General features: G+C 53.1%; 2 protein-coding genes and 2 long non-coding RNA genes across 6 annotated transcripts in view, besides 3 other annotated features; 2 read left to right on the plus strand and 2 right to left on the minus strand.

Moving 5' to 3' along the window:
* The window catches only part of TSPEAR (thrombospondin type laminin G domain and EAR repeats), a 213,680-nt gene that overhangs the window by 19,317 nt on the left and 167,384 nt on the right, over positions 1–26,979 (minus strand). For both annotated transcript variants that reach the window (NM_144991.3, NM_001272037.2), the window contains 7 exons: positions 16,476–16,714; positions 13,834–13,924; positions 12,589–12,745; positions 11,243–11,374; positions 10,083–10,309; positions 8,444–8,630; positions 4,674–4,903 (listed from right to left, as the gene is read on the minus strand). In NM_144991.3, coding sequence (NP_659428.2) covers positions 4,674–4,903; positions 8,444–8,630; positions 10,083–10,309; positions 11,243–11,374; positions 12,589–12,745; positions 13,834–13,924; positions 16,476–16,714 — 1,263 coding nt within the window. The remainder of the gene's footprint in view (positions 1–4,673; positions 4,904–8,443; positions 8,631–10,082; positions 10,310–11,242; positions 11,375–12,588; positions 12,746–13,833; positions 13,925–16,475; positions 16,715–26,979) is intronic.
* TSPEAR-AS2 (TSPEAR antisense RNA 2) lies at positions 6–1,768 on the plus strand. 2 transcript variants are annotated; one of them, NR_026547.1, is made up of 3 exons: positions 6–626; positions 1,050–1,123; positions 1,419–1,768. It is a non-coding gene; the product is annotated as a TSPEAR antisense RNA 2 (long non-coding RNA). The 2 variants fall into 2 exon arrangements; NR_026548.1 differs by lacking the exon at positions 1,050–1,123.
* Positions 2,539–3,088: an enhancer, noted in NCBI's record as "H3K4me1 hESC enhancer chr21:45939631-45940180 (GRCh37/hg19 assembly coordinates)". NCBI's record gives its function as "activates a minimal SCP1, AML or CMV promoter by ChIP-STARR-seq in naive H9 embryonic stem cells {active_cell/tissue: H9 hESC(naive)}" and the evidence as "EXISTENCE:reporter gene assay evidence [ECO:0000049][PMID:30033119]".
* On the plus strand, positions 10,300–15,973 carry LOC124905038 (uncharacterized). The gene is made up of 2 exons (XR_007067905.1): positions 10,300–14,328; positions 15,076–15,973. It is a non-coding gene; the product is annotated as an uncharacterized LOC124905038 (long non-coding RNA).
* Positions 20,871–21,370: an enhancer, noted in NCBI's record as "H3K4me1 hESC enhancer chr21:45957963-45958462 (GRCh37/hg19 assembly coordinates)". NCBI's record gives its function as "activates a minimal SCP1, AML or CMV promoter by ChIP-STARR-seq in primed H9 embryonic stem cells {active_cell/tissue: H9 hESC(primed)}" and the evidence as "EXISTENCE:reporter gene assay evidence [ECO:0000049][PMID:30033119]".
* Positions 21,724–22,388: an enhancer, noted in NCBI's record as "H3K27ac-H3K4me1 hESC enhancer chr21:45958816-45959480 (GRCh37/hg19 assembly coordinates)". NCBI's record gives its function as "activates a minimal SCP1, AML or CMV promoter by ChIP-STARR-seq in naive H9 embryonic stem cells {active_cell/tissue: H9 hESC(naive)}" and the evidence as "EXISTENCE:reporter gene assay evidence [ECO:0000049][PMID:30033119]".
* KRTAP10-1 (keratin associated protein 10-1) lies at positions 21,772–22,986 on the minus strand. Its single transcript, NM_198691.3, has one exon. The coding sequence runs from the start codon at positions 22,939–22,941 to the stop codon at positions 22,093–22,095; it is 849 nt and encodes a 282-aa protein (NP_941964.2). The 5' UTR covers positions 22,942–22,986; the 3' UTR covers positions 21,772–22,092.

A 26,979-nucleotide genomic window follows, 5' to 3' on the forward strand; every position in this document is an offset into this window, starting at 1 on the left:
TTCCAGAACTTTCCTTATGGTCATCTTTGGGTGGAGCCACCACTTCCAGTTCTGATCTTCTCATTCTGGTTGAGTACCTGGGCTTGCCAGTGCACCCCCCAGGAACACCGCCTAGTCCAGGGCTCCCACAGGTCTCAGACTGACAGGAGACTGGGTCATATGACCAGCACTAGCCAATGAGCTGTGAGTACACGTGACACAGGGACAAGCTGGGTCATGTGACTGGCACTAGCCAATGAGCTGTGAGGACGTGAGCACAGGTCCAGCTAGGCTGGGTCATATGACAAGCATTAGCCAATGAGCTGTGAGGACACGTGAGTACAGGTCCAGCTAGGCTGGGACATGTGACTGGCACTGGCCCATGGGCTGTGAGCACAGGTCAGGTCAGCCCCTTCCTGCTGCTTCCCACCGTGTGTGCTCCTTGTCTGACTTGATATGAGAACTAACCCAATATGGCAGGAAGCCACTGACATGTGGGAGCCGTGCATGGCAGTGGCCAGCGTCCTTGTCCTGCGGGGGCTCTGTGGACATCACTCGCCTTCAGAACACTGAGCCCTCCTACCTCCTGATATCCAGGGCTGCCGATGGGAAATCCCAGGCTGCCGCGGCTCCTGTGTGCTTTGAAGGTAACTTTCCTTTGCTCTCGCGCTCCTTGGGCTCAGCGCCCTTTCAGTCTGATGAGATCTGGGCGGTTTTCTTCAAGCCTTCTCTGACAATTCCATCACTGTCCTCACCCTCTTCTTTTTTTTCTAGAACTTTGGTTAGCCAGATACAGACTCTCCTGGTTTGATTCTGTCTCTTTTCATTCTACATTCTAGAAGATACTCTTAACTTTATATTTCAGTCATGTTAATGAATGTCTTCTTTTAATGCCAGCAATTGCATTTTTAATGTCCAAGCTCTCTGTCTCATTAGTAGCATTTTTTATTTCGTAAGTGCAGTATCATCTTGAATACTTCTGAAGACAAGTATAACTTAAAAAAATTCCTTTCTGTTTCTAGAGCTAGCTCAGTTTCTTTCAGCCTTTTTCTTTAGCCTGACTCCTGCAGTTTTCAGGATTTTTGTCAAACATCCGGGGACCCTTAGCTGGAGAGGATGGCATGGGTGACACGCAGCTGGCCAGGTACGCTCTGGGGCACTGGGGCATCTTGAGCACCTTGGTGCAGTGTCGTGAAGAAGACACTGTAAATTGGACTTGGTGTTATCACAGGGGCTTTAGGATCACGGTGTTGGTAGATCTAGGATGATAATCTCCAAAACGCACTCCCCAACCCACTGCAGGGATCCTTTCTCTTGTCACCTCACTTTGTGATTTAGAATGCAGGACCTCCAGGACAGCAGCCTCTCCGTGGCACAACAGCTGTTAGGAGACCTTGCCTAGTTGACGAGAAAGTCACTTGTGGTGCCTTTCCATCCAGGGTGCGCGACTCTGCTCTCAAGACCCCCTGGAGGCCCGCCCCCTGCCCCCCACCAGCTCATTCGTTAGATGATTGGAAGTGACTGCCTACGTCTTCTTTCAGGATAAAGCCTCAAGTCCTGCAACTATTCCTTGTGTGATAACGTTTCAAATCCCTTCCTGGTTCTGGCAAAGCTCCTCAAACATGCTCCAGTGTGCTGGGGCTCTGCATGTGTGAGCCTGGGGCCAGCAGGGCGCACGTTCATGTCAGGGCACCAGTATGATCCTGATGACACATGACTGGTGTGGAGCCCCGGGTGTTTCCACGGGAACTGCTGTCGGCCGGATTGCTGTGCTCTGCAGCTGTGCCCAAGTCCCCAAGCCACCCTTTCGTTGCTGCTCGATGTCACCATTTGCTTTTGTTGTTTTTTTTTTGTTTTTGAGATGGAGTCTCACTCTGTCGCCCAGGCTGGAGTGCAGTGGCGTGATCTCGGCTCACTGCAAGCTCCGCCTCCCGGGTTCACGCCATTCTCCTGCCTCAGCCTCCCGAGTAGCTGGGATTACAGGTACCCGCCACCATGCCAGGCTAATTTTTTTTTGTATTTTTAGTAGAGACAGGGTTTCACCGTGTTCACCAGGATGGTCTTGATCTCCTGACCTTGTGATCCGCCTGCCTTGGCTTCCCAAAGGGTTGGGATTACAGGCTTGAGCCACTGCGCCCAGCCCACCATTTGCCTTTTGAGCCACTGTCCCCGCGTATCGAGCCCTCCTTGGGAGTCCCAATTTCCAGCCCATATCACGCTCTTGGCCCCAGCTTGCAGCTGCTTTCGCATCTCAACCTCACCAGCCTCAAGTCCAACTCCAGGTCAATGATTACTGGTCAGAGGGGCCATTCCTGCTGAGCCCTGTGGTCAGGCTAACCCATGACCGAAGGCTCCTGAACCCTCCTTCAGGTCCGCTGTCCGCACACCAGCACGTGGCCACCAGCCCAGGACACCCTTGTAGTTTCCCAGAGTCTTAGCAGCATGCGTGTTGTGGTGAGAGGACTGTGCAGGGACCAGTAAGACAAGGAACTTATGCTCAGCTCTGTCCCGTGCCACATCAAACCAAGTGACAGGCCGCATTGCTTGGCTTGATCCCAGTTCTGCCACGGGCAAAGCCCTCCACCGTTCTGAGCCTCTGTGTCCTTGTGGATAACAGGGACCAGTGGCAGCAAGCCCCTCTCAAGGTGCTGTGAGGGTGATGTGGGCGGATGCGGGCAGAGCTCTTGGCACAGGTGCTCTACAGAGTCGAGGCTCAGCCAGTGTGAGCCGCTACCACCACCTACCTCCTGAGGCTGTTACCAAGGCCAATGGCTGGAAGGAATCTTGCTCACCCCCAATCCCAGTGCACTGAGCCTCACTCTGCCCCCGTGGCAGGAGGCTCATCCCGCCTCTTCCTGGCTCCCAGGCACGCTCACCTGTTCCATCCACAGCACTAGCGAGCTCAAGGTGTGTTCCTTCTGGCACTGCTGCCTCCTCACCTGGGCGCCTGCGGCTCATCTGGGCGGCCACAGCAGCCTCCCAATGGCTCACTCCCTCCCAGCCACCGACCAGTCATTATCGTGCAGCCCTGTCAACCCCACAAGGGCAGGCTTCACGTTTCACTTGCAGCCTGTGGCTCTGGGTGGTGACCCTGCTGCCTACTCCCAGCCCCACTGCCCTGCAGGTACCCTCCCAACTTTCCCAGCCCTCACTTCCTCCTGGTGAGGGCTGGGAAAGTGGGGAGGGTGCTCCCTGACATCTGCTCTCCTCGTGCCCTGAACATCCACGTAAAGCTGCCCTTCCCCACTGGACCATGAGTGCCCGAAGGGTGGGGCGGTGGTCACCTGGATGACGCTGTGCCCCAGCCTGCCAGAGGGCTGAGCACGTGGGAGTCCCGGAGCAATTCTCTGCACGCATTAAGGCGTGTGATTGGTCCCTGTGAGCCGCGGCTCCTGGTCCGGCCCCTGCGGGCTTCTCAAGGTGGTCACACTCCCGGTTTCCTAAGCTGCTCTTACTCCTGCTGGGTGGAGGGGCTCCAGGAACCTGCGACTGCTGAACTCCATCTTCCTCCCTTCTGTTTTGAAGCTCATTCCCATGTGCTACCTGCAGGCTTGCTCTAATGAGATGTATGTATGGAATGTTATGTATGGAATGTTCCAGAATGCCTTCAATCATTTCAGCCATAAAGCCCCACCCACCACATGCACAGCTTCTTGTCTAATGCAGGGGTAGCCTGGCAAGGCCTGACTGTTGTCACTGTTTTTCCAGACTCCCTGATGGGGGCGGGGGGTCCGGGCATCAGCGTCTGCCATGGTTCTGCCCCTGTACCAGCCTCACTGGGACGTGGCATGGGGGCAGCTCACGTGGCAAGAGTGGCCTGGGTTAGTCTCACTGCCTCGGGTGCAGAAGGCCCTGAGAACATTTCTGCAGGGGAATGAGTCGCCAGGTCAGGGGGCACAGAAGATTCCAGAAGGACACCAGGGAGGTGATGTCTTATGAGAGGCACGCTTCCAGCAAACAGTGGGAGTGCTGTCACCGGCGCTGCAGAGCCCCTGAGCTGCCTCCTCCGGGGAACTGGGCTCACATAGAGGCTGAGCCCGAGGTGGGAGATGCGCCCCCACCTGTCTCGTACTCCGCACCTCTGCTCCGGTCACAGTCCTCAGCACACTTGCTGGGAGCAGGCAGCACGCTGTCCCTGCCCCTGGAGGTGGCCTAATAAGCACCTGTTGCTGCCTCAACTCAAAGGTCTCGTGGTGGCTGGAACCAGCCAAGGGACACTTGAGGCCTGGAGAGGAGCGCCACGTGCTGCCCCGACCCGGCCCCCACGCTGCCCTGGGTCAGAGCCAAGCTGCCCAGCTGCCCCAGGGCCAGGGCCCTGACGACCATACAGACTCAGATTAGACCGCGGGAGCTTCCAAGGGGAGGGAGGGCCTGTTCTGAGCCCGGGGGCTGCTTTATGGAGAACACCATGCCAGGGTGGGGCAGAGCCAGGGTGCGCCTCCTGCCTTATTTCCAGGCACCTGGACTGTCCCTGGGCGCACAGAGGCTCTCAGGCAAGAAGGGCTCAGACGCCAGGCAAGGATCCTGTGCCGTCCAGAGGAGCAGGCCCTGCCTGGGTTTTGGGGTCACGGGTGCAGAGCAGCACTAGGTTTGGCTCTCGGTGGACCCCCAGCCCACATCACCTGTCCAGCAGGTGCAGGTGACAGACGCAGTGGCCAGCAATGGAGAGCCGGGGCTCATGCGGGGGGCCTTACCGGGAAGGACTGGAAGAGCTGGAAGGAGCCCAGGAGTCGGATGTAGAGGTGCGAGTGCACCTTGGTGGAGGTGCCGTTGAAGGTGTTGGCCACCACCAGGAACGAGTAGGGCCCCACACTGAAGAACTCCCAGTCGTAGGCGCCGGAGGTGGCGATGGTCTGGTTGGCCTCGAAGAGCCGGGTTGCCGGGTTCCACTTGTAGATGACACTGTCGATGTTGTGGTTGTCGCCTGGAACCAAGGGACTGTGCTGGGGGCAGGGAGGCAGATTCCACAGCCCCATGGCAGCCCCGACGGAGGCAGAGCCCAGTCCAAGTCCCTCCCCGAGGACCGAAGACCCACGAGGACAAGGCCAACCGCTGGGGACATCCTTTCTTACCTTGAGCCTCCCGCCCTCAGCCCCTTGCTGACTGCACCTCTGGGCCATCACAGGTGCTATTCCCATATGGAAATGCTTGGTGGCCCCCACCGCCCTTGGGACAGGTGTACATCTCCATGGCCTCCCCGTGTCCTGGAGGTGGGGCCCACCGTGTCCTGGCCCCGCTGCCCACGGCTCTCCAGCATCCCCACAGGCCAGGCCTTCCCACGCACTGCCACCTCTGCCCGGAGGCCCCTCCCTCTCAACTGTGGAGCTCCCCCATTGGGTGGGTCGTGGGCTCAGGGGAGTGCAGAGCTGTGGAGCCTGGGCAGGGTTGGGTCTGGGAGGTCCTGCAGGCGGAGAGATGCCCCCAGACCCAGGCCGGCTCGTGGAGCTACACAATGGCAGGTACTCATGGTGGCCGCTCAGGGCAGTGTCCTGGCCTGGAAAGCAGGTGTCCCGGTACCTTCCAGGCCAGTGCTCCTCACTGTCTCTGCTGGCACAAGGCGGGACAGCTGCCTGTCCTCAGGAAACAAGGCCATGGAGGCCATCCAGATCCCATGTCCTCGGCAGCTGTCCTCCACCACACACCTGGCCATGCCAGGCACCAGGCCAGCATCCCTGCCATGGGCCTGGGCCCACCACCCAACATCTGCCCTCCCTGTGCTGGTCAGACCTTTCCTGCTGGGAGGCTGCTTAGTCTGTCAGTCAGTCATTGAGGTAGTCAGTCAGTCAGTTGTCAGTCAGTCAGATAGTCAGTCATCAGTTAGTCACTGAAACAGTTAGTCAAGTAGTCAGTCAGGTAGTTTGTCAGTCAGCCAGGTAGTTAGTCAGTTAGTCAGTCAGTCAGCCAGCCAGCCAGCCAATTAGTCAGTGAAGTAGTCAGTCAGCCAGTCAGTTAATTTGTCAGTCAGGTAGTTGGTCAGTCAGTCAGCCAGCCAGCCAGCCAATTAGTCAGTGAAGTAGTCAGTCAGCCAGTCAGTTAATTTGTCAGTCAGGTAGTTGGTCAGTCAGTCAGTTAGCCAGCCAGCCAATTAGTCAGTGAGGTATTCAGTCAGTCAGTCAGTTTGTCAGTCAGTCAGGTAGGTAGTCACTCAGTGAAGTGGTCGGTCAGTTGTGTCAGTCAGTCAGTAAGGTAGTCAGTTGGTCAGTCAGTTAGGTAGTTAATAAGTCAGGTAGTCAGGTAGTTAGTCAGGTAGTCAGTTAGGTAGTTAATAAGGTAATCAGTCAGTCAGGCAGTTAGTTTGGTAGTCGGTCAGGTAGGCAGTCAGTCGTCAGTCAGTCTGAGGTAGTTAAGTCATTGAGATGGTCAGTCAGTAAGTCAGTCAGTTAGGTCGTCAGTCAGTCAGTTCAGTAGTTAGGTAGTCAGTCATCAGTCAGGTAGTTAATCAGTCAGGTAGTCAGTCATCAGTGAGTGAGGTAGTCAGTTGTCAGGTAGTCATCAGCCAGTCAGATAGGCAGGTAGTTAGTCATCAGTCAGTCAGTCAGGTAGTCAGCCAGGTAGTTAATCAGTCAGCCAGTCAGTGAGGTAGTTAATCAGTTAGTCAGTGAGGTAGTCAGTCAGTCAGTCAGTCAGTCAGTTAGTCAGGTAATTAGGTAGTCAGCCAGTCAGTTCAGTGGCTAGTCAGGTAGTTGGTCAGTCATGAGTCAGGTTATTAATCAGTCAGGTAGTTTGTCAGTCAGTCAGTCAATTAGCCAGTGAGGTAGTCAGTCAGTCAGTTCAGTAGTTAGTCAGGTAGCCAGTCATCAGTCAGGTAGTCAGTCAGGTAGTTAGTCATCAGTCAGGTAGTTAGTCAGTTGTCAGGTAGTCACTCAGTCATCAGTCAGTCAGGTAGTTAGGCAATCAGTCAATAAGTGAGGTAGTCAGGTAGTCAGTCAGATAGTCAGTCAGTCAGTGAGGTAGTCAGTCAGCTAGTCAAGTAGTTAGGTAATCAGTCAGTCAGACAGTCAGGTAGTTAGGCAGGTAGTCACTCCATCAGTCAGTCAGTCAGTCAGTGAGGTAGTCCATCAGTCAGCCAGCCAGCCAGCCAGTCAGGTAGTTAGTCAACTAATCATTCAGTCAGTCAGACAGTCAGGTAGTTAGTCAGTCAGATAGTAAGTCAGTTAATGAGTTAGCCAGTCAGGTAGCTAGTCAGGTAATCAGTCAGTTAGTGGGAGAGTCAGGTAATTAGGTAGTCAGTCAGGCAGTCAATCAATGAGTCAGTTAGTTAGTCAGCCAGTCAGGTAGTTAGGTAGTCAGTCAGTCAGGTAGTTAGTCAGGTAGTCAGTCAGGCAGTCAGTCAGTCAGACAAGTAGTCAGTAAGGTAACCAGTCAGTGATGTAGTCAGGTAGTCAGTCAATCAGTTAGTCAGGTAGTTAGCCAGTTAGTCATGTAATCAGTCAGTCAGGTAGTCAGTCATCAGTCAGTTAGGTAGTTAGTCATCAGTTAGTCAGTTAGGTAATTAGTCAGTCAGCTAGTCAGTTAATCAGGTAGTTAGGTAATCAGTCAGTGAGACAGTCAGTCAATCAGTCAGTAAGGTAGTCAGTCAGGTAATTAGTAGTCAGTCAGAGAGTCAGGTAGTCATTCAGATAGACAGTCAGGTAGTTAGTCAATCAGTCAGTGAGGTAGTCAGTCAGCCAATAGCCAGTCAGCCAGTCAGGTAGTTAGTCAGGTAATCAGTCAGTCAGTCAGATAGTCAGGTAGTTAGTCATTCAGGTAGTCAGTCAGTCAGTCAGTCACTCTTTGAGGCAGTCAGTCAGTCAGTCAGTCAGTGAGGCAGTCAGCCAGCCAGCCAGTCAGATAGTTAGTCATTCAGGTGGTCAGTCAGTCAGGTAGTTAGTCAGATAGTCAGTCAGTTAGCCAGTCAGCTAGTCATTCAGGTTGTCAGTCAGCCAATCAGGTATCAGTCAGGTAGTCAGTCAGACAGTCAGGTAGTTAGTCAGTCAGTCAGTCAGTGAAGTAGTCAGTCAGTCTGTGATGTAGTTGGTCATTCAGGTCGTCAATCAGTCAGTCAGGTAGTTAGTCATGTAATTAGTCAAGTAGTTAGTCAAGAAGTCAGGTAATTTAGTCAATCAGTCATCAGGCAGTCAGTCATCAGGTAATTAGGTAGTCAGTCGGGTAGTCAGTGAGTTAGGTAGTTAATCAGCTAGTCAGTCAGTCAGTTTCAGACAAGGAGGGAGGCTGGCAGGTATTCTGTGCTGGGAGTCAGTCTGGCAGTCCATGTTTCTGGGGTGGCTGTGCTGTGGGCAGGTGCCCCAGGGACCACCAGTAGATGTCCCTCCCCCAGACAGTGAGGAACGGTCCAGAACGCATGTTCACCCTGTGCTGCATGTGGCTTATTGTTTTCTAATAAGATACACATTCGCCCTGCCTGCAAGTCTCGCTCTGCCCCTGGAATGGTTGCCTCCCGGTGTGAAGGCCACTCCTGCCCTACCTTCCCGGTGGTTGGCCACCGCCAGGAAGTGCTCCCCATCCACCTCGAAGGCCTCCCAGTCTCGGGCGCTGTGTGTGGCAATGCTCTGATATGGGGTAAACTTCAGCTTTCTGTGGCTCCATTTGTAAATGACAGAGAACTCCTGACCCTTCTCATCTGGTTCAAAATTAGCCACTGCCAGGAAGATCTGAAAGAGAGTAAACCGGGACCACGTGGTTCTGCTTGGGTCGGTGCCAGCGGCCTGGTTTCTGAAGGCTTCTGAACATCAGCATCTCTCTCCAGATCCACGGCTGCTACGTGGTGCAGGGACAGAGGACCGAGGCCCCCGCATTACAGGTCATCATGGTGGGGTGGGCGCAGAGCCGGTCATTACATTCATCAAGACCCTTGAAAATGTCCATATTCTTTACCCAATATTTCCACTTCTATTGCTATCTGAAGGCAAAAACACAAAAGCCAAAATTCCCAAATTCAGGAAAAGCTTTATGCACAAAAATGTTCTTCATAACCCAGATGACCAGAAAAACGCATCACAACCTGCTCTCCTGTGTTATGGGTGTGATCACCACGCAAAGCTGTGTCAGGGCAATGTGTGTAAAACATGAACATGGCGCAATGTGCCCAGGGCTCATAGTGTAGCTGTGTGAACATACAGAATGAGGGGCAAGGTGCATGGTTCATGGACGATGTGCTTGGAGGCAAGGACGCCACATGAACCTACGTACTTGCTTGGATGATGGAACAAAATATTGTCCCCTTTGCTTTTCTGAATTTTCCAATTGTTCTTTGATGCAAAGTTTTTTTTATAACAAAAAATTAAAACCTTATGATGTCATCAATCAAAAAAAAAAAAACCAACTAGTTATTCACCCGCCATGCTGGATGCAAATGCAGCCTGCATGAGGGTGGCTGTAAGCCACAGGAGAGCAGTTTCCATCTGCTGTGTTCACTGCTTTAGCCCTGTGTCCAGGCAGGGCCTGGTGGGCCTCCTTGGCACATTGTAGGCCAGTGAGTGACTATTTGGGGGCAGTCAGGAGGTGCTGTCTCTAGGACATGGCTGTGTAGAGTCCAGGGAGTGGACGGAGCTGGGAAGAGGAAACCCCATCCTTCCCATTGGGATGTCAACCATCTCCCAGACCCACCACCTCGACCCTCTGCCCAGAGCAGCCCTGACAGGAAGGTGGCTGTCAGCCTGCGAGGTCCCACCCATGGCTCCCCTGAGCCTGGCCTCAGCCTTGCATGTGGACATCACGTGTCCTCAACATTTGAGGAAAGGAAGGATCAGGAATGTCCATTTTCTAGTGTCTTTCTGAAACGATTTGTGGGTTCTTGACCAGCTCATGTAAACACTCTCAACAGGTTTTAAATGTAGTGACGAGGGGTCTATGTAGAACGAGATGGCATGTGGGAAATGGTCTGGTCGTCCGTTTTGCGGGAGCCAAGCAGACTGCCTCAAAGTCACATCCTGGATTTAGGGTGGTGGGCTCACGTGTGCGACTCTGTCAGCCTTTTACCGCCTGAACGAGGTGACACCGTGAGAAACTCCTTTACCTGCAGAATCAGTGTAGGGGGCCCCGCCTGTGGACTCGGGGCTTTCCAAGAGAAAGGGGATGGAGAAAGTCACCGAACACAGACTTGCCTTTTTCCCGATGGTGAAATGCCTCCAGGCCTGTGCTTGGTGCGTGGGGATGTTCTGATATGAGACGAACTTCTCTTCGGTCCACTTGTAGACGGCGGATGTGGCTTTGCGATTGGCTGTGGCCACAAAGAGCCCCACCTGAGGGATGCGGAACACCTCAATGCCCAGGGTCTCTGAGTTGGTGGACAAGTTCTGATGCTCCTCCACGTAGTCCAGTCTTTCTTTGGCTTGTGATAGAAACGTTGTGACTCGGTTAAGATTTCCGAGAACGGAAATCCAGAGCAATCCTCGCGGGAGCGCGATTCCCAAGCCCCAAGTCACAAGCCACGACTCCTGCGCCTCAGCCTCGGGCATCAGTTTCCACGTTTCGCTCTCACAGGAAAGGCCTGTCAAAGGGAGGCCACTCACTGCTGCCAGGGGCTTTGTGATCTGTGCAGCCCCCAGTGAAGTTTACATGTTGTGGGTTGTGGCCTTGTTAAAAGGCTCACTGCTTCTACGGCAAGTTGTGCTCTCGATAATGTGAAAGAGAGCAGCTCACACACGTGCTGGGCGGAACCCATGCCCATTTCCCACGGGTAACCTGTCTGGAGCATCTATCGCCACCTCCACTCACCTCCCCAGCAGCGGGAACGGACTGCTGAGAAGGCTCTCTGTAAAAATAACCTTTCAGGCTCGTCATCTCCTTGGATCTCATCTCTGATCTAGCAGACAGGGAGGGTGTGGGCAGAGGCGGCAGCCGGGCCACCCTACCAAGGAGGCTGCAGGGAGGCAGGCATTGTCTTCCCATGGTTTGGGAAGGGGTACCACGCGATGCCCAGCCCTGTCAGCCCGTGTGTCATGCCCTGGAGGTTCACATTTCCAATTGAGATGCACAGGCTCGAGGCTCCTGGTGGGGCAGTTTCCTGTCCTAAGTGGTGCCTGCCCTGAGGAGGGCCTGTGGCTGAGTCCTGTGGCTCTAGGGAGGGCAGTGTCCTGCCCGCTGCTTGCTTTGGGGGTCAGGACTGATGCTGCCTCTCACTCTTAGAAGTGCCCCAGCCTGACGGCCAAGCCTGAGGTCATTCAGAGGTGGCTGAGGTGCCCCCTCTCCTAGCCTCCACTCCCAGTCACACTGTGCCAGAGTGGCCCTGCATGCCAACGCCCCGGGTGCAGGGCTGCCTCACCTGCTAACACGGAGACCCACTCGTTGCCAACACACAGATACAGGCCCTTCCGGCTGGCATCAAACCAGAACTGGGCGTCTTCCACCTCGGTACACGGTGGCTGGGGTCCCAGCGTCACTCGAATGTTGGTTTCTGAGGGGAAGACCAGGAAGATGAGTTTCCAGCAAGCCAGTGCCCCCAAAGGAAGACGACACAGGAAGAGGCCCCCAAACCAGGCTGCCCTGCCTCAGCCTCTGCATGCGGGCCTGGAAGGGCCCCTGCAGGCACCTTGGCACAAGCCTGCCACATCACAGACGGGGAATTGAGAACCTGGCCTACCGGTGACGAAGGACATCATGATGCCCCCTATATGGTCAGCCCACCCTCTGTCCACTCTGAAAGGCGTGGCTTTCCATCCCATTGAGGCAGAAAAGGCCTGCTCCTCTGAGAGTCCTCAGCGATTGCACAGGGCATGGTCCCCCCTCAGGAGGGAGTCCCTGTTGACAGTGGTGTATCTTAACGACGGCTTGGCTTGAACCTGTGGCGGTTTGATCTCATCACTTCCAGTAATCACACCCCACCATGGGTCCTAATTCTGCCACCTCTTGACTCTATGTGGGACATCTGTGCACCTGCCAGCCGGTGCTGGCCAGCGGTGTGACACAGTATACCATGCGGCCCGGATGTGTTGGAGGTGGGGGCTCCCCTACTTGGTAACCGCTAACCCTGAGGCTCGGGGGCTCGGCTGTTCTCCACCTCACTGCCCCTCGGGTTGGCTGAGAGCAGTGGGGATGCGGCGGGGAGGGGCATTTCAGATTCTCCATGGCAGGAGTGTGGTTTAAATAAATACAGTCACCCTTGTAACTTCACACAAGAGAAAATCAAGCGGGGAGGCCCTCTGGGCCGGGGGATCGTGGAAGACGTGAGTGTAGGGCCAGAGTGGGCCCGACTGGGGCGGGCTGGTCTGGATGATGGTGGGACAGAGGCGGGGTGGGGAGAAATGGCCCAAACGCTGTCCTTGGGGGGCAAAAGGGGATGAGGGATGTCAGATAGCTCTGGACAGACTTTCTAAAGTAAGTTAGGCCTGTTTTCTGCCTGGGGTCCCCAGGAAGGGGCTGGATGGCTGTCGTGGGAGTGCTTGGAGGGAAGGGCAGGATGACACTGGCCTGTCTGATGGTGCCGCCTGCCTTCCTAGGGGTGGGCCCCGAGTATCCCCCTGGCCAATATGACCGCTGCCCCCCGTAGCAGTGATGAGGGGGGCAGGCACACGAGAGGGGCTGAGAGCTGAGCCCTGAGTTCCCGCCTGGTGTGAGGCCAGGGCTCTCGCATCTGCCTTTGGTGTGGGGGCGGGTGGCCCCCCTACTAACCATAGGGATATTTTAGCACCTCGTTATCTTCTGGCTTCCCCGTGAGAGCCTGCAGGACCCGTGGGATGGACAGCACCGCCAGCGGGGCGTTCCTGCTGGGACACAGCCTTGGGGTGGCGTCTGAGCCCGGCAGCAGGACCAGTTGCCTCACCAGTCCCTGCAGAGAGAGGGACAGCTCCTTCAGGCCCGCGCTGCTGGGGAAGGACCCGCTGAGGAGGCGACCACTGAGCTTGGCCCATCCAGAGCCCGGAGGAGGCTCGGGTGGATGGAATCTAAGCTTTTGCAGAGCTAACTGGGAAGAGTTTACATGATGGTTACTGAGGAGGCCATGGGAGCAATGGTGAAGAATTGCCCCCCTTCCGAGGGAACTGAACCACAGAAGGGGTTTTTTATGTGAACTTAGAGTGACTGGCTACTCTGCTCATCCAACAGCCCATCCACCCATCCTGTTCATCCATGCATTCATCCATCCATCTGTCCATCCATCAGTCCAATCCATTCATCCATCACTAATCCATCCATCCCTCCACCTACCCATCCATTCATCCATGCATTCATCCATCCATCCACCCATTCATCCATCACTCATCCATCCATCCCTCCATCCACCCATCCATTCATCCATCCATTCATCTTTCTCTCCATCTGTTCATCTCTCCACGCATCCATCCCTCCATCCATCCATTCATCTTTCTCTCCATCTGTTCATCTCTCCACGCATCCATCCATCCATCCATCCATTTGTCCATCCCTCCATCTGCCCATCCATCTGTCAAACCATGCATCAATAAATATTCAGAGCATCTGCTATGTGCCAGGCATGGCTCTAGACACTGGACTCAGCAGGGAACAAAGGCCTCTAGCCTCATGGAGTGAGGTCCCCACTCACACGTGAGTGGAGACACAGGCACCGAGCAGACACCCAGCTGGCCTGAGAGCAGCAGGCCCTACTGAGGAAAGACAGCTCCGGGGAAGGGGCTGCAGGGCAGAGTGTGGGCATCAGCTCAGCATGGTGGGGGCAGCCTGAAGAGGACCGTTGGGCAGGGACCCAAGACCATCAGGGAGGAGGGTGCCAGGAGGAAACAGCAAGCGTGAAGGCCCTGTGGTAGAGACTCCACGCACGCTGTACCTTCTTTTCCCAGTTAGCACGTCCAAGGATCTGTCAACTAGAGCAGTAGGACAACTGGCCTGGGGCAGTCCCATCCCGCAGCACGGGTGTTGGGAAGGCAGCCCCTCCATACTCGCCATGAACAGGCCTTTGGCTCTCCTCCGGCTGCCGACGAAGAATCGAGCTCCTTTCACTGACAGGGTGGCTGGGAAGGGCACATCGGCCATTCTGAAAATATCAAAGGACTGTGTTAGGGCCATAGGAGAGTGGTCACCCCAGTTTACTCACAGAAGGAACAGGAACAAGCCCCTCACTAAGCAGCGTGCATCTGTGCTGTGGCTGCCACACAAAGGATGGCACACAGGGCTGATCGCCTGCACAGCTCTGGAGCCCAGTAGCCTGGATCAGGCTGGGGCAGGGTTTCTCCGAAGGCTCCAGAGGAGGACGCTTCCTCGACTCATCAGCTTCTGGTGGCTGCACGTGCTCCCCGTGACCTGTGGCCATGTCGCTCCAGTGTCCGACTCTCCCAGTATCTGTCTCCTGGTAAGGATCCTAGTCACACTGGAGCAGGGCCCGCCTCACTCCAGGATGATCTCAGCTTGACTTGATGACTGCAAAGACTCTGTTTCCAGGTAAGGTCACATTCACGGGTGCTGGGTGGACATGAATTCGGGGGGGGCACTTCACCCCAGGGCCAGGGCCTCCTGCAGAAGTGCGTGGTGACATGCTTAGTGGTTCTTCCCTATCTCATGGTGAACGTGCAGTGGCTTCGACCTGCACAGGGTCCTCCAGCCCACTCACCCTCCCTCCACTGAGCTCCTGCACCATCACCCGGCCTGGGGTGCTGGGACAGATGGCTTCAGGACAGGAAGGAGGCTGGTGACCCATGAGGGTGTCAGGAGCAGGCGGTCTTGACGAGTGCGTGGAGGCTGAACTCCGGAGATGGAGCAAGGTGGGTGCCCGCTGAGGGACAGCGTGGCTAGAGCTCCTGGGCGGAAGAGCAGGGGTGCCTTCGGGCTCGCCTCCCGCCCACGCTGCCACTGTCTCTTGTAAAACACCTGCTCCTTCCAGTCTTTGCCATCTGGCTGCAGCTGGCCGTGGTGAGCTCAGCTCCTGCCCTGCTGTCCCAGAAAGCCCCGTCCTCTGCACACAGCTCGGCCTCTGCTAGGGTCCAGGCTGCTGGCCCCCAAGCCCTGGCCTGTACCCTCCGTAGCAGCCTGCCAAGGGGTTAAGTTCTTCCGTGGCCACAATTGGTTCCAGGCCTGTGACTCCCCATGTCCCACCATCTTCCCCAGGAAGTCCACTTTTAAAACATTCGGGGAACATTCCTAATCATTATGCTTTCGACCCTGATTTCTTCCTTTCTCCTGATGAGGCAGGTGAACGTTTGTCCAGGCCTCAGGCGCTGCCGCCACGTCATTCCTAGCTGCTGTGGCAAAGCCAGAAGTCAGGCAGCATTCACGTCCAGCCAGGACTTTCTTTACGGGGTGGGAAGCTGCTGCTAGGTCAGGTTGTCTTCAGCCTGCACAGCACGTCCCTGGGAGGCTTCCAGCTCTCAGGACCTGAGAACTCATCACCGTCCTGAGGGCCCTAAAGAGTTTGGGGTATGGTGGGAGAGAGGCTCTGATAAAAGTGTGTTTAAGCTAAGTGCATAATAAAAATATTTATGCGATAAGTTTCATAACAAAACAGAAGATCCTACCTTTGAAAGTAATATTCGAAATAATTTAATATTTAATAGATTTAATATAAACTGGATCATTTGCAATTAAAAAGACAGAAGCGCAGCCCTGCTCCACAGTGGTAGATCCTGACATGGGTAACCAACTGGCCGAGCTAGGGGACTGAGGACTCCTGTCCAGGGGACCTACCGTCAGGCCACAAACCAGGCGACGGCAAAAACGAGAAACGAACTCGGCTTCCAAAAGCCCCCATTGTGTCCAAGGCTACAAAGGATAATCTTGTACTCATTTGGAGTTTCTGTCAACATCTGCTCCCTCGTCCACGAGGAACCTGCCATGTGGAGTCACGGAGCCAGGCCTCGGCCTCCAGCCTGGAGGTTGGGGAAGGAGTTACTCTGACTTCCCGCTGCTGCCTGTTGTGATGTTAGCGCCCTCCCCACAGTGCCGGTCCCCTGCCAAGTCCCCTGAGCTACTTCTGGAAAAGGAGTGCGCTTGGTGTGATCGCCCTTACCTTGTTCTAAGCCACTGACTCTGATGTGCAGCGGGTTTTGTGTTTAAGGCGTGGAGAAACATTAAAATCGGGGTTTTGACAGGAGTGTGCTTCATAAACGCTCCGCGGGAGAGGCCCATTCCCCTTCCAGCCCGAATCCAGGGCATCACTCACCACCTGTTCTCGCCAATGTCCACTCTGCCCACAGATGGTGAGCCTGCCTCACCCCATGCAGCCCTGCAGAGGCTGGCGCGGACGCTGACCTGACCTCCCATGGTCAGCCCCTGCCTCATGAATGGCTCTTGCCCCCTGGTCGGCTCCTGCCCCGTGGATGGCTCCTGCCCCTCCACCCCATGGCTCCTGGCCCCTGGTCGGCTCCTGCCTCTCCACCCCATGGCTCCTGTCCCTCCACCCCATGGCTCCTGGCCCCTGGTCGGCTCCTGCCCCGTGGATGGCTCCTGCCCCTCCACCCCATGGCTCCTGACCCTGGTCAGCTCCTGCCCCAGGACAGCTCCTGCAGGTGTTGCTCGGCGAGCACGGCTGAAGGATGCCTGGCCTGGCAGGACTCTGAGGACTGCAGGTGCACCCTCCCCGGGTGGGTACCTACATGTCCACCGGGAGGCCGCAGTCCGTGGTGAGGGAGAAGACGCCTGCGGACACAGCCAGGACCAGTGTGTGCCAGCGGCCATCCACCAGGGCCGGGCTGCGGAAGGACACTCGGGTCTGCCAGGCGCCGGCCGTGTCCTCGCGAAGGAACAGGAAGTGCAGCTGGGCAGGTGACAACCGCAGGCCGAGCAGCAGCAGGTCGCTCTCCTCTGCCACCACCGTCAGCAGGTACTCGTTCCTCTGTGGAGAGCGGGCCAGGCTCAGGACGGGGCTGGGGGTAGGGGTCGGGTGCGGGGGCAGGGCAGATGGGAATGGCAGAGGTGATGAGCACAGGTGGTGAGAGGAGCAGGGGCTGACTGGAGGGGCGAGGTGAGGGGGCGCGGTGGATGGGAAGGGCAGGGTGGATAGGGGCCTTCTAATTAGCCCTCTAATGGGGAGGGATGGGGTTGATGGAGCGCTAGGGCTGGTGCCAGGGGTGGAGCTGGTGTGAGGGGGCGGGGCTGGTGTGTGAGGGGTGGGGCTTGTGTGAGGGGGCGGGGCTGGTGTGTGAGGGGGCGGGGCTGGTGTGGGGCGGGGCTGGTGTGTGAGGGGTGGGGCTTGTGTGAGGGGGCAGGGCTGGTGTGTGTGGGGCAGGGCTGGTGTGTGAGGGGTGGGGCTGGTGTGGGGCGGGGCTGGTGTGTGTGGGGCAGGGCTGGTGTGTGAGGGGTGGGGCTGGTGTGTGAGGGGCGGGGCTGGTGTGTGAGGGGGCAGGGTTGGTGTGAGGGGGCGGGGCTGGTGTGTGAGGGGTGGGGCTGGTATGTGACAGGGCTGATGTGTGAGAGGGAGGGCTGCTGGGCCAGGGGCAAGGCTGGCGCCAGGCCGTAGGGACCGGCTTAGTCAGGAGCACGGGTCCATGGTAAAACCCAAAGGCACCCCCACACACTAGGATGGCTAATGCCCAAAGAACAGAATGTGTTATGCTGGCGACACTGTGGAGAAACTGGAACTCTTGCGCACTGTTGGTGGGAATGTAAAATGGTGCAGCCACTGTGGAAAACAGGATGGCAGTTCCTCAAAAAGTTATAAACAGAACGACCAAATGATTCAGCAATTCCACTTCTGGGTCCATTCTCAAAAGAATCGAAAGAGATACTTGTACACACATGTTCATAGTGGCTTACTCACAATTGCCAAAAGGTAGAAGCAACACAAGTGTCCACGAACGGATGGATGGGTAAACGCAGTGTGGTCCAACCACACAGTGGAATATTAGTCAGCCATAAAGAGGGAAGGAAATGCTGACACATGCTGCAACATGGATGAACCTTGGGGATGTTCCACTTATATGAGGTCACTAGACTGGTCACATTCACAGAGACAAAAGGTAGAATGGTAGGTGCCGGGGCTGGGGGGTGATGGGGAGTAAGTGTTTAATGGGTGTGGAGTTTCAGTGTTGGGAGACGAAGAAGTTCTGGAGATGGACGGTGGTGATGGCTGCACAACAACATGGATGTCCTGAATGCCACTGACTGTACCCTTAAAAATAGTTTCGATGGTAAATTTTACATTACGTGTATTTTACCACAATTAAAAAACAAGAACGTATACAAATGCGGTGTCCACCAAGACCTCAGAGCTTTTTGGCTTCCTTTCCAATTTGGGTTATGTGAAACAAAGCACTTGATTATACTTATTTCCAACTTAGATTCCATTCATTCCTAGCCCAACACAATTAAAGAATTGAAAGTGATTAAGCCTGAAAGGTAAAGCAGGTATGAAAACAGTTAGACAGCATACAGTCACGTACGGCCAGAGCCTGTTTCAGTTGACAGTGGACAGCACAGGGGATGGTGGTCCTGTAAGATTGTAACACTGACGTTTTACTGTATCGTGTCTGTGTTTAGAAACACGAATACACTGTTTGTACACTGCGACTGCCTGCAGTATTCCCACAGTAGCGTGCTGGAAGTAGCTGCTCACTGCAACCTCTGCCTCCCAGGTTCAAGCAATTTTCCTGACTCAGCCTCCAAAGTAGCTGGGACTACAGGTGCACACCACCACACCCAGCTAATTTTGTATTTTTAGTAGAGATGGGGTTTCACCATGTTAGCCAGGCTGGTCTCAAACTCCTGACCTCAGGTGATCCGCCCGCTTCGGCCTCCCAAAGTGCTGGGATTACAGATAAAGCAAAGTTTTGAGCTTTAAGACCAGAAGGATCAATTTCTATGTTTATCAAAAAAAAAAAAAGGAAAAAAGAAAAAAAAAAACTATCTATGGGGCTATTAGGTCTTTTTCCATTGGAAGTGGACTTTCTGTTCTGCCCAACTTTGCTTCCACTCCAAGCTCCTTACCCTCAGGTTGGGAGACAGAGGGACTCTTCTGTGGAAGGAAGCCCTGGTAGCTCAGACTCAAGAGTTCACAGTGGCAGAGTCCAGCCCTGTCAGGCTTCTTCCTGCAGCCGCTTGTGTTCCATGGCTGATGGAGAGGAGGGGCCTGCCCAGCTGCAGTGGCTGTTCACACTCTGGCCCCCTTTCCGGGCGGTGCTGGGCTTCTCCCATCCTCAGGCTGCTGCTCCTGCCAGTGCTCCCTCGGCGTCCTCCGGCACAGACCTCAGCAACACTGACTTCTGGGCCTGGTTCCTACCCACTCGCATTTTGGGCCCTTGGGTGATATCTTGCCATTAAGTTCTGTCCTAAATGGAACCCATGGGTTTTTCTTTTTCTATCTGGTAATTCTCTCTGTTTCTATTTGGGATTTAGGGAGATTTAGAAACTATGCCTCAGGTAGCACCATGTCTCTAGGATCCACTCCTCCCTCTCAAAACAATCCTTGATTCTAGTAAATGAAAATTCATAGCAAAAAGGAAATAGAAAGACTTGGTTTAAAAATAAAAGGTTTCTACTTAAACCCCACAGCAAACACTGCGTGTAGTGGTGAACCTTTGACGCTTTCTCATGAAAGTCAGGAACAATCAAGGATTCTTTTAATTTTATTCAGCATCATCCTGGGTGTTCAAAGTAATGTTGCCACAGGAAAAACAATAGAAATGGGAGTTTTAAAGATTGGAAATGAGAAGTTAAATTCTCCTTATTTTCAAATGATGAGCTCATCTACATAGAAAAATCCAAGAAAATCAATGACAAACTGTAAGAACTAATAAGAGAACTTGCAAAGGAAAGGAGCTAAACATATGGTTTGATATGAAGACAATATATATGTAAAAAATTTATATAGACATATATACAGGATTTATATACTAAGACAACATAATAGAAAACTGTTCCCCATTCACACTAGTAAAACATCCCTATGAAATACCTCGAATTTAATCCAAAGAGGAATATTTTAGACCTATAGAAGAAAATGATGGAATTCTAAATGGAACTATTGTACTGTGTAACTGCAAGGCAAGACAAGATGAACAATTATAGTTTCCTCCTACATATTTAAAAGCTCAATGCAATCCCAATCAAAATTATAGTAGTTTAAAAAATACTGGAAAAGCTTTCTAAAATTAATCGAGAACAAGCTAGAACCAACGTTTTTAGAAAATAAGATAGTGGCACCTTCCTTAGGAGCTGTTAGTTTCCTCCTACATATTTAAAAGCTCAATGCAATCCCAATCAAAATTATAGCAGTTTAAAAAATACTGGAAAAGCTTTCTAAAATTAATTGAGAACAAGCTAGAACCAACGTTTTTAGAAAATAAGATAGTGGCACCTTCTTTATGAGCTGTTAGGATATATTATGAAGCTGAATAACATGGATAAAACAGCTGGAATGGATGCAAGGATAGATCAAGAGATGAATAGAACAAAATACAAAATAGGGATTTCAGAAGCAGGCTATACAAACATTTCTCAGACAAAAGAGATGTTTCAAATGGGAGATGGAGAGAATAAACTAACTTTAAAAAAGGACAGTTGGCTATTGGTGGAAGAGAAAGATTAATACGTCATACCTCACACAAGTCATATCAGCAAATGGGGCAAAAAGTTAAATCTAAGCAATAACAATGAAACCAATATCAGCAAAATTAGGCCTGTTTCCAATCTCGGGGAGTGTGCTGTATAGAAGCAATGATGGGTTGGAAATATTTGGAGGGCATATGATGGACAGAGGATCCCCAGCCCTAAATCCACAAGAAAAACACACATAGCCTGATAAGAAATGGGCTAGGAATGTGAACAGGAAACTTTCAGTGTGGACGGCCATGCATTTAGGCCATAGTGGGTTCCCAGCAGCCGTCAGTGCGGAGGGCAGGGAGCTGAGAGCAGATCAGGCTGAGCCGGGGTCACGCGGGGTCCCCCAGCCACTGAGGGCCCTGGGCAGCAACCACGCAGACCCCGCCCCCCAGGCTCCACCTCACTTTCTGTGGCATTTCTGTGCCTGTTCTGACCACAGCCGTGGCAGCACCATGTCCATCAGGCTGCGGCCGGCCTGGCTGTGGGGTGACTGCAGCATCCCAGGGGCGGGCATTCTCATCAGCGTTTTGGTCTCTGCAGCTGGCCTGGAGGAGTTTGTCTCACAGTCTGAGGACTGACTGCTCTGCACCCACCCAGGGTGGCGGAGCCCCATGCGCTGCCTGATCTTACCATTGTCCCCGCTGACGGCCTTTCCCACAGGACATCACAGGCAGCTCATGCTCCCCGCGTGGACCAAGCCTTAGAGAGATGAGAGTGTCGCTGACTGTGTGCCCGCACCGGCATCATCTGTGGGAACCCAGGCTCCTTGTCCCTACACCTGTGTGGAAACTGCTGCCCCCCCCCCCCCCAAGAGGAGAACCTGGGCAGCGCCAGGGTTTTGGGGAATCCTGTGCCTCCATCCGCCCACCCCATGATGCTTTTGTTCCCATCGAGTCCCTTGTCTCCTGCGCAGGTGCAGCAGCCCCTCCCTCTCCCCTCGCATTGCTGCTAAAACGGGCAGAACCCTCGGGCGGGCGGCACACAGGGAGGGTGACCAGGCCTGGAGGCTGCAGTGCCCGGACCCCAGGGCAGCTTCCCGGAAGGTGACCCTGCAGTGTGGGCTCTCCCAGGTGAGAGAGTGGGTGGGACAGTCCTGGGGCCTGGAGAGCCCCACAGCCCAGGGCATGACAGCGAATGACCAGGCTCAGGAAGACCCGGGCACAGGGGCTGAGCTGGGACTGAGCCTTCCTGGGAGTGACCGTGAGTCCCACCTGGTGACCCCCTGGAGGAGTTAGGCCACTGTCCCCTGTGACTTCTAGGTTAAGTCACTCATTCCTAAAAATAATCATGGCTGGAGGAGACCAATGTCAGCTCAAAACCATGTGTCCCCCAGGAACACAACAGAAAAGAGAATCAGGTGACCAAGGAGAGTTTATTGGGGAGCAGGAGGAGGTGCTGAGAGGTTCAAGTCGAGGCCAAGTGACCCAGAGCAGAGAAGCTGGGAGGGAGGACAGGGGACCTAGCAGGCAGGTGGGCACCTGCTGGAAGGCAAGAGCTGGGGAGCTGCAAGGATGGAGGCTCCTGGGAGCAAGGAGGGGGGGTCACCTCAGCACAGGGGAGACACGGGGACCCGTCCTAGGTGGGGGAAGCCACCTAACCCAGGTCAGGAACTGAGCCCAGCTGGCCCAGGGCGGGTGCCCATCAGCAGCTGGACTCCTGGCCTGAGCAGAGGCCTCAGCAGGCCGGGCGGGAGCACGCGGGGCGGCAGAGGAGGGACACGCAGGAGGCCGGGCGGCAGCAGCTGGCCTGGCAGGAGGAGGCAGGGGCACAGCAGGAGGAGACAGGCATACAGCAGGCGGGCCGGCATACAGGGCGGCAGAGGAGGGACACGGAGGAGGAGGGTCTGCAGCAGGAGGTGGTGCAGCAAGCCGGCTGGCAGCTAGACTGCTGGCAGCATGAAGTGGAAGCCCCAGAGCAGACGGGCACACAGCAGATGGGCTTGCAGCAGACAGGCTTGCAACGGACGGGCACGCAGCAGGCCTGCTGGCAGGGGGAGGAGGTGCAGCAAGCTGGATGGCAGCTAGACTGCTGGCAGCATGAAGAGGAATCCTCAGAGCAGGTGGGCACATAGCACACAGGCTTGCAGCAAACAGGCACACAGCAGGACTGCTGGCTGGAGGAAGAGGCACAGCAAGTTGGCTGGCAGCTAGACTGCTGGCAGCATGAAGAGGAATCCTTAGAGCAGGTGGGCAGGCAGCACACAGGCTTGCAGCAGACGGGCACGCAGCAGGCCTGCTGGCAGGGGGAGGAGGTGCAGCAAGCCGGCTGGCAGCTAGACTGCTGGCAGCACGAGGGCGTGCAGGAGCTGGTGCAGCCTGATTGGCAGGGGCTGGGCTCACAGGCTGCCTGGCAGCAGGGGCTGGACACACGGCTCACTGGGGTGCAGACCAGGGTCAGGCAGGGGGCCGGGGCGCAGCAGCTGAGGGCGCAGCAGTGGGGCTCACAGCAGCTCTCTGGGCAGGCATCCACCTGCCAGGAGTCGGAGCAAGCGCTGGAGCAGACGGACATGGTGGACGCGGCCATGCTGGGGTGGGGAGGAGGTGAGCTGCGGGAGGTGTGAGTGAGTGAGTGTGGGAGTCAGTGTGTGTGTGAGTGACTGAGTGTGTGAGTGAGTGTGTGAGCTTCGTGGGGCTCTGCTTTTATACCCCTTCTGGCCTTGTTGTTCCAGGGCCCACAGCGTCCCCTTCCTGGTTGCTGAGAGGTGGCGTGTGTCATGACTAGGGATGTTTGTTTGCCTGTGATGTGGCCCAGGTCATAAATCTCCTGTCCTGTCTGGGCTGTAGCCTGTCCCATGTGGATCCCTGGGGGCAAGAGTGGAGGTGGACCTGGTCCCAGCACGCCACCAGTGCAGTCCGGGTTGTAAGAAGGGGGCTGCGGAGGCAGGGGTGGCCCTTCAGCCTTATGCAAAGTGTGGCATGCCAGGGTGAGAGCTGTCCCACTCACGATCGTGGGGGCGTCTCCTCCCTAAAGCGGGTCCTCACTGAAGAGGCAGAAGCAGCTGGTAGAAGCACAGGATCACTGGAGCAGCCGGAGAGAAGGTGCAGCAGTGGCCAGCGAACCCCACAGTGGTGGCCCTGCACATTCCTTCCCCCATCCCCATCACTGAAGAAATTAGAGCCCCAAACAGGGAGAAGGGGAGCAAGGAAGGAGAGGCCATGCCCCTCCCCACGGCCTTCCCCGAGGTCCACTCAGACGTTGGTGTGGGAACGCTGGGGATAGGACTGGGTTTCGGACAGGAAAGAAAAGTTTTGAACTGGCCCATGGATTTGGTTCTGCTCTTAAAGGCCATAGCTTTATGATGTGCTTCAACCATAGATAACTCAAGTCCCGTTATCAATATTCTTAAATTTATTTTTTTTTTTTTTTGTACAGATGGCGTCTCAAGTGATCCCTCCTGCCTTGGCCAAAGTACTGGGATTGCAGGCGTGAGCCCGGTGCCTGGCCATCATCAGTATTTCTGCACCACGTGTCTTCCCTGTTCCTGTTCATTGTCCTTGCTGTCCTCAGCTTCCTTTCTTCAAACGTAAGCTGCATGTGAGCAGGGAGTGTGTTTGTCTTGTTCACCACTCAGTCTTCAAAGGCCTAAAATCATGCCTGGCCCAAGGAAAAGCCTTTATAAAAATGGGCTGAAATAATAAACTTTTTTGGAGAAATTATTGAAGAGTAATTTTGAGCTCTGAACGCGATTCCATTGTGCCACCTTTTTCTTATGCTGTATAAAATGCTCTGTCAAGTTCTCCTTTCGTGTGTGGGGAACTGGCTTACATCAGACTGGCCATCTAGCTGAGAAATATTAGGAAATCTGGTTTACAAACAAAATCTCTGTTCGAAGGGGCCGGGAGGTATCAAGACAGCTGAGACTTGAGTGAGTGAATCCGCATTAGAGAGAAACTGCACAGAAGTGAGTCCAATATTCCTTGTGGATTTTCTTACTGAGGCATTTACCAATTTACAGACCACAGCCAAGAGGCCGAGAGCCTGATCAGCTGAGCAGAGCTTTTAGTAGTCTCATGGAATTAGAAGAAAAAAACCACAGAGTTCAGGACCTGACAAGGTGGAGGGATTCTAGCAAAAACACCCTAGGCTTTCAGTTGGAAATGCTGAATGTAAGTGAAGGGCTACTCCCTAGGAGGAAGGAAAAACCAGAAAGAATGAAACCTATCTTTAAATAAACTCGCACTGAACTCATATGATCTGCCTGTAGCCTAACTGCCTCCCAGAAACAAAAGTGATCTCTTCTGGAGACAGCAGCATCAACAGAGGCTCAAATCATCTTATAAATTTTCATAAAGTCCTTCATGCAGTCAAAAAATTACTAGGGATATTAGAAGACAAGACCAACTGACCAAAAGACCAAGAGGAAAAAAACAAACAAGAGAAACAGACGTGCAGGAGATCTAGATATTAGAATTGTGAAACTGGAATTTAATGCTGATTAACTTGCTCAAGAAAATAGAGAACAAATGGAGAATTTCAGTGTCAAACTGGATTTATTAAATGGAATCAAACAAAAATTCTGGAAACGAAGAACACAATAGCTGAAATTAAGAACTAGGTAGCTTAGCTTTACAACATATAGACAAAACCAAAGAGAAGATTAGTAAAGGAAGGGAGATGAGGAAATTTCAAGCCTGAATACAGAGATGGGAAAGAAAAGAGGGAAATAAAGAAAGTGGAGCAATAAACATGCCTATATTTTGTGAAAATTTATGGGAAAAATGATTGAAATCCTACAAGGAGAGGAGTGAAATAGGGGTAGTAAAATATTTGAAGATGTAATGGACAAGAACTTTAACCTGATGAAATGCATAGATGCAAAGAGCATTTAAGAATCTTTAGGCCAGGCATGATGGCTCACACCTGTAATACCAGCACTCTGGGAGGCCAAGGTGGTCAAACTGCTTGAGCTTAGGAGTTGAAGACCAGCCAGGACAATATAGCAAAACCCAATCTCTACAAAAAATATGAAAAGTTGGCCCACTTTGGTGGTACATTTGTAGTCCCAGCTACTCAAGAGGCTAAGGAGGAGAATCACTTGAGCCTGGGAGGTAGAGGCTGCAGTGAGCCAAGATTGCACCACTGCACTCTAACCTGGGCAACAGAAAGAGACCTGTTAAAAAAAAAAAAAAAAGAAAAAGAAAAGAAAAAAGAAAAAGAAAAAAAGGAACCCTCCAAACCAAGAATCTTTAGCAAGTGAACACAAAGAAAACTACACCTGGGCACATTGGGGTTGAAATCCAAAGACAGAAAAATTTAAAAACAGCCAGAGGAAAACAAGACATATTACCTTCAAAGAAGCAACAATAACACTTACAGATGACTTCTCAGTAGAAATGATGAAAGGCAGAGGACAATGGAATGATATATTTACTGTCTGAAAGAAAAGAAGCACAAAGCTAGAATTCTATACCTGGGAAGAAGATTCCCCCAAATGAGAACAGAATAATGACATCCTCTGGACACCGAGAGGATATGTCACCAGCAGGATCTGCACTACAGAAAATACTAAAGGGAGCATTAGGTAGAATGAAAACAAGCACAGATGAAAGCAAGAAGTTGATAAGGAAATGAAGTGTAACAAAAGAAGAACACATGGGGAAAATCTAAATGAATGTTGACTGTATAAAATGTAAGTTGTAAAATATTTATGGAAATAAAATACATGGCAAGAACACAAAATTCAGGAGGGGCTACATAGAGTTAAAGTGGCTTAAGCACACTGCACCATCTGAAAAATAATATAAGGTCTAATTTACATGAGACTTTAAAAAGTCATGGATTCATGTTATAATCTCCACTATAATAACAAAGGAATATACGACTCACTAGGAAGTAGATGCTAGTACTTGGCCGAATCATTCCTCCCCAAAGGTTGTCTCCACCCAGAACCTCCCAATATGACCTTATATGGAAATAAGGTATTTGCAGATATAATTAGTTAAGTCATACGGGATCATAGTGAACCTTAAATCCAATGTCTAGTGTCTTTACCAGAGAAAGGAGAAGGAAGTTCAGACATACACACAAAGGGAAGAAGATGATATGACAACAGAGGCAAAGATTGGAGTGAAGATAGAAGCCAAGGGAACCCAAGGTTTGCTGGGTGCCACCAGAAGCTAGAAGGAGCAAGGGCATATTCTCCCTTGGAGCTCGGAGAAAGCATTGCCCTGTGGAAACCTTCATTTCAGGTGCCTGGCCCTAAGAACTATGACAGAATAATTTTCCATTGTTTCCAGTCACACTTTTGGTGTAATTAGCTATGGTAGCACTAGGAACCAATACAATGAAGGAATAAAAAAACTTAAAACAGTCAATCCAAAAGCAGTAAAGCAAGGAGATAAAAGGGAGTAGATTCCTTGCATAAGCAAAAACCACTGTGAGATGGGAGGTTTAAACTCAAACGTATCAGCAAAGCCCCACATTCTTTCCAGTCCTGCCCATCAGATGTATCATTACTTTAGTCAACACAGCTGTATAGGGAGAGTTCACTGGGGTTTAAGTTTGCGCTGTCCTGGTGATCCATGATGTGAAACATGTTTCCATGTGTTTATTTGCCATCCA

The sequence above is a fragment of the Homo sapiens genome, chromosome 21, assembly GCF_000001405.40.
Source record: "Homo sapiens chromosome 21, GRCh38.p14 Primary Assembly".
Taxonomy (NCBI): Eukaryota; Metazoa; Chordata; class Mammalia; order Primates; family Hominidae; genus Homo; species Homo sapiens.

Bases quoted from the DNA above. Each gene is read 5' to 3' on its own strand.
- KRTAP10-1 (NM_198691.3), bottom strand. From the start codon at position 22,941: ATGGCCGCGTCCACCATGTCCGTCTGCTCCAGCGCTTGCTCCGACTCC.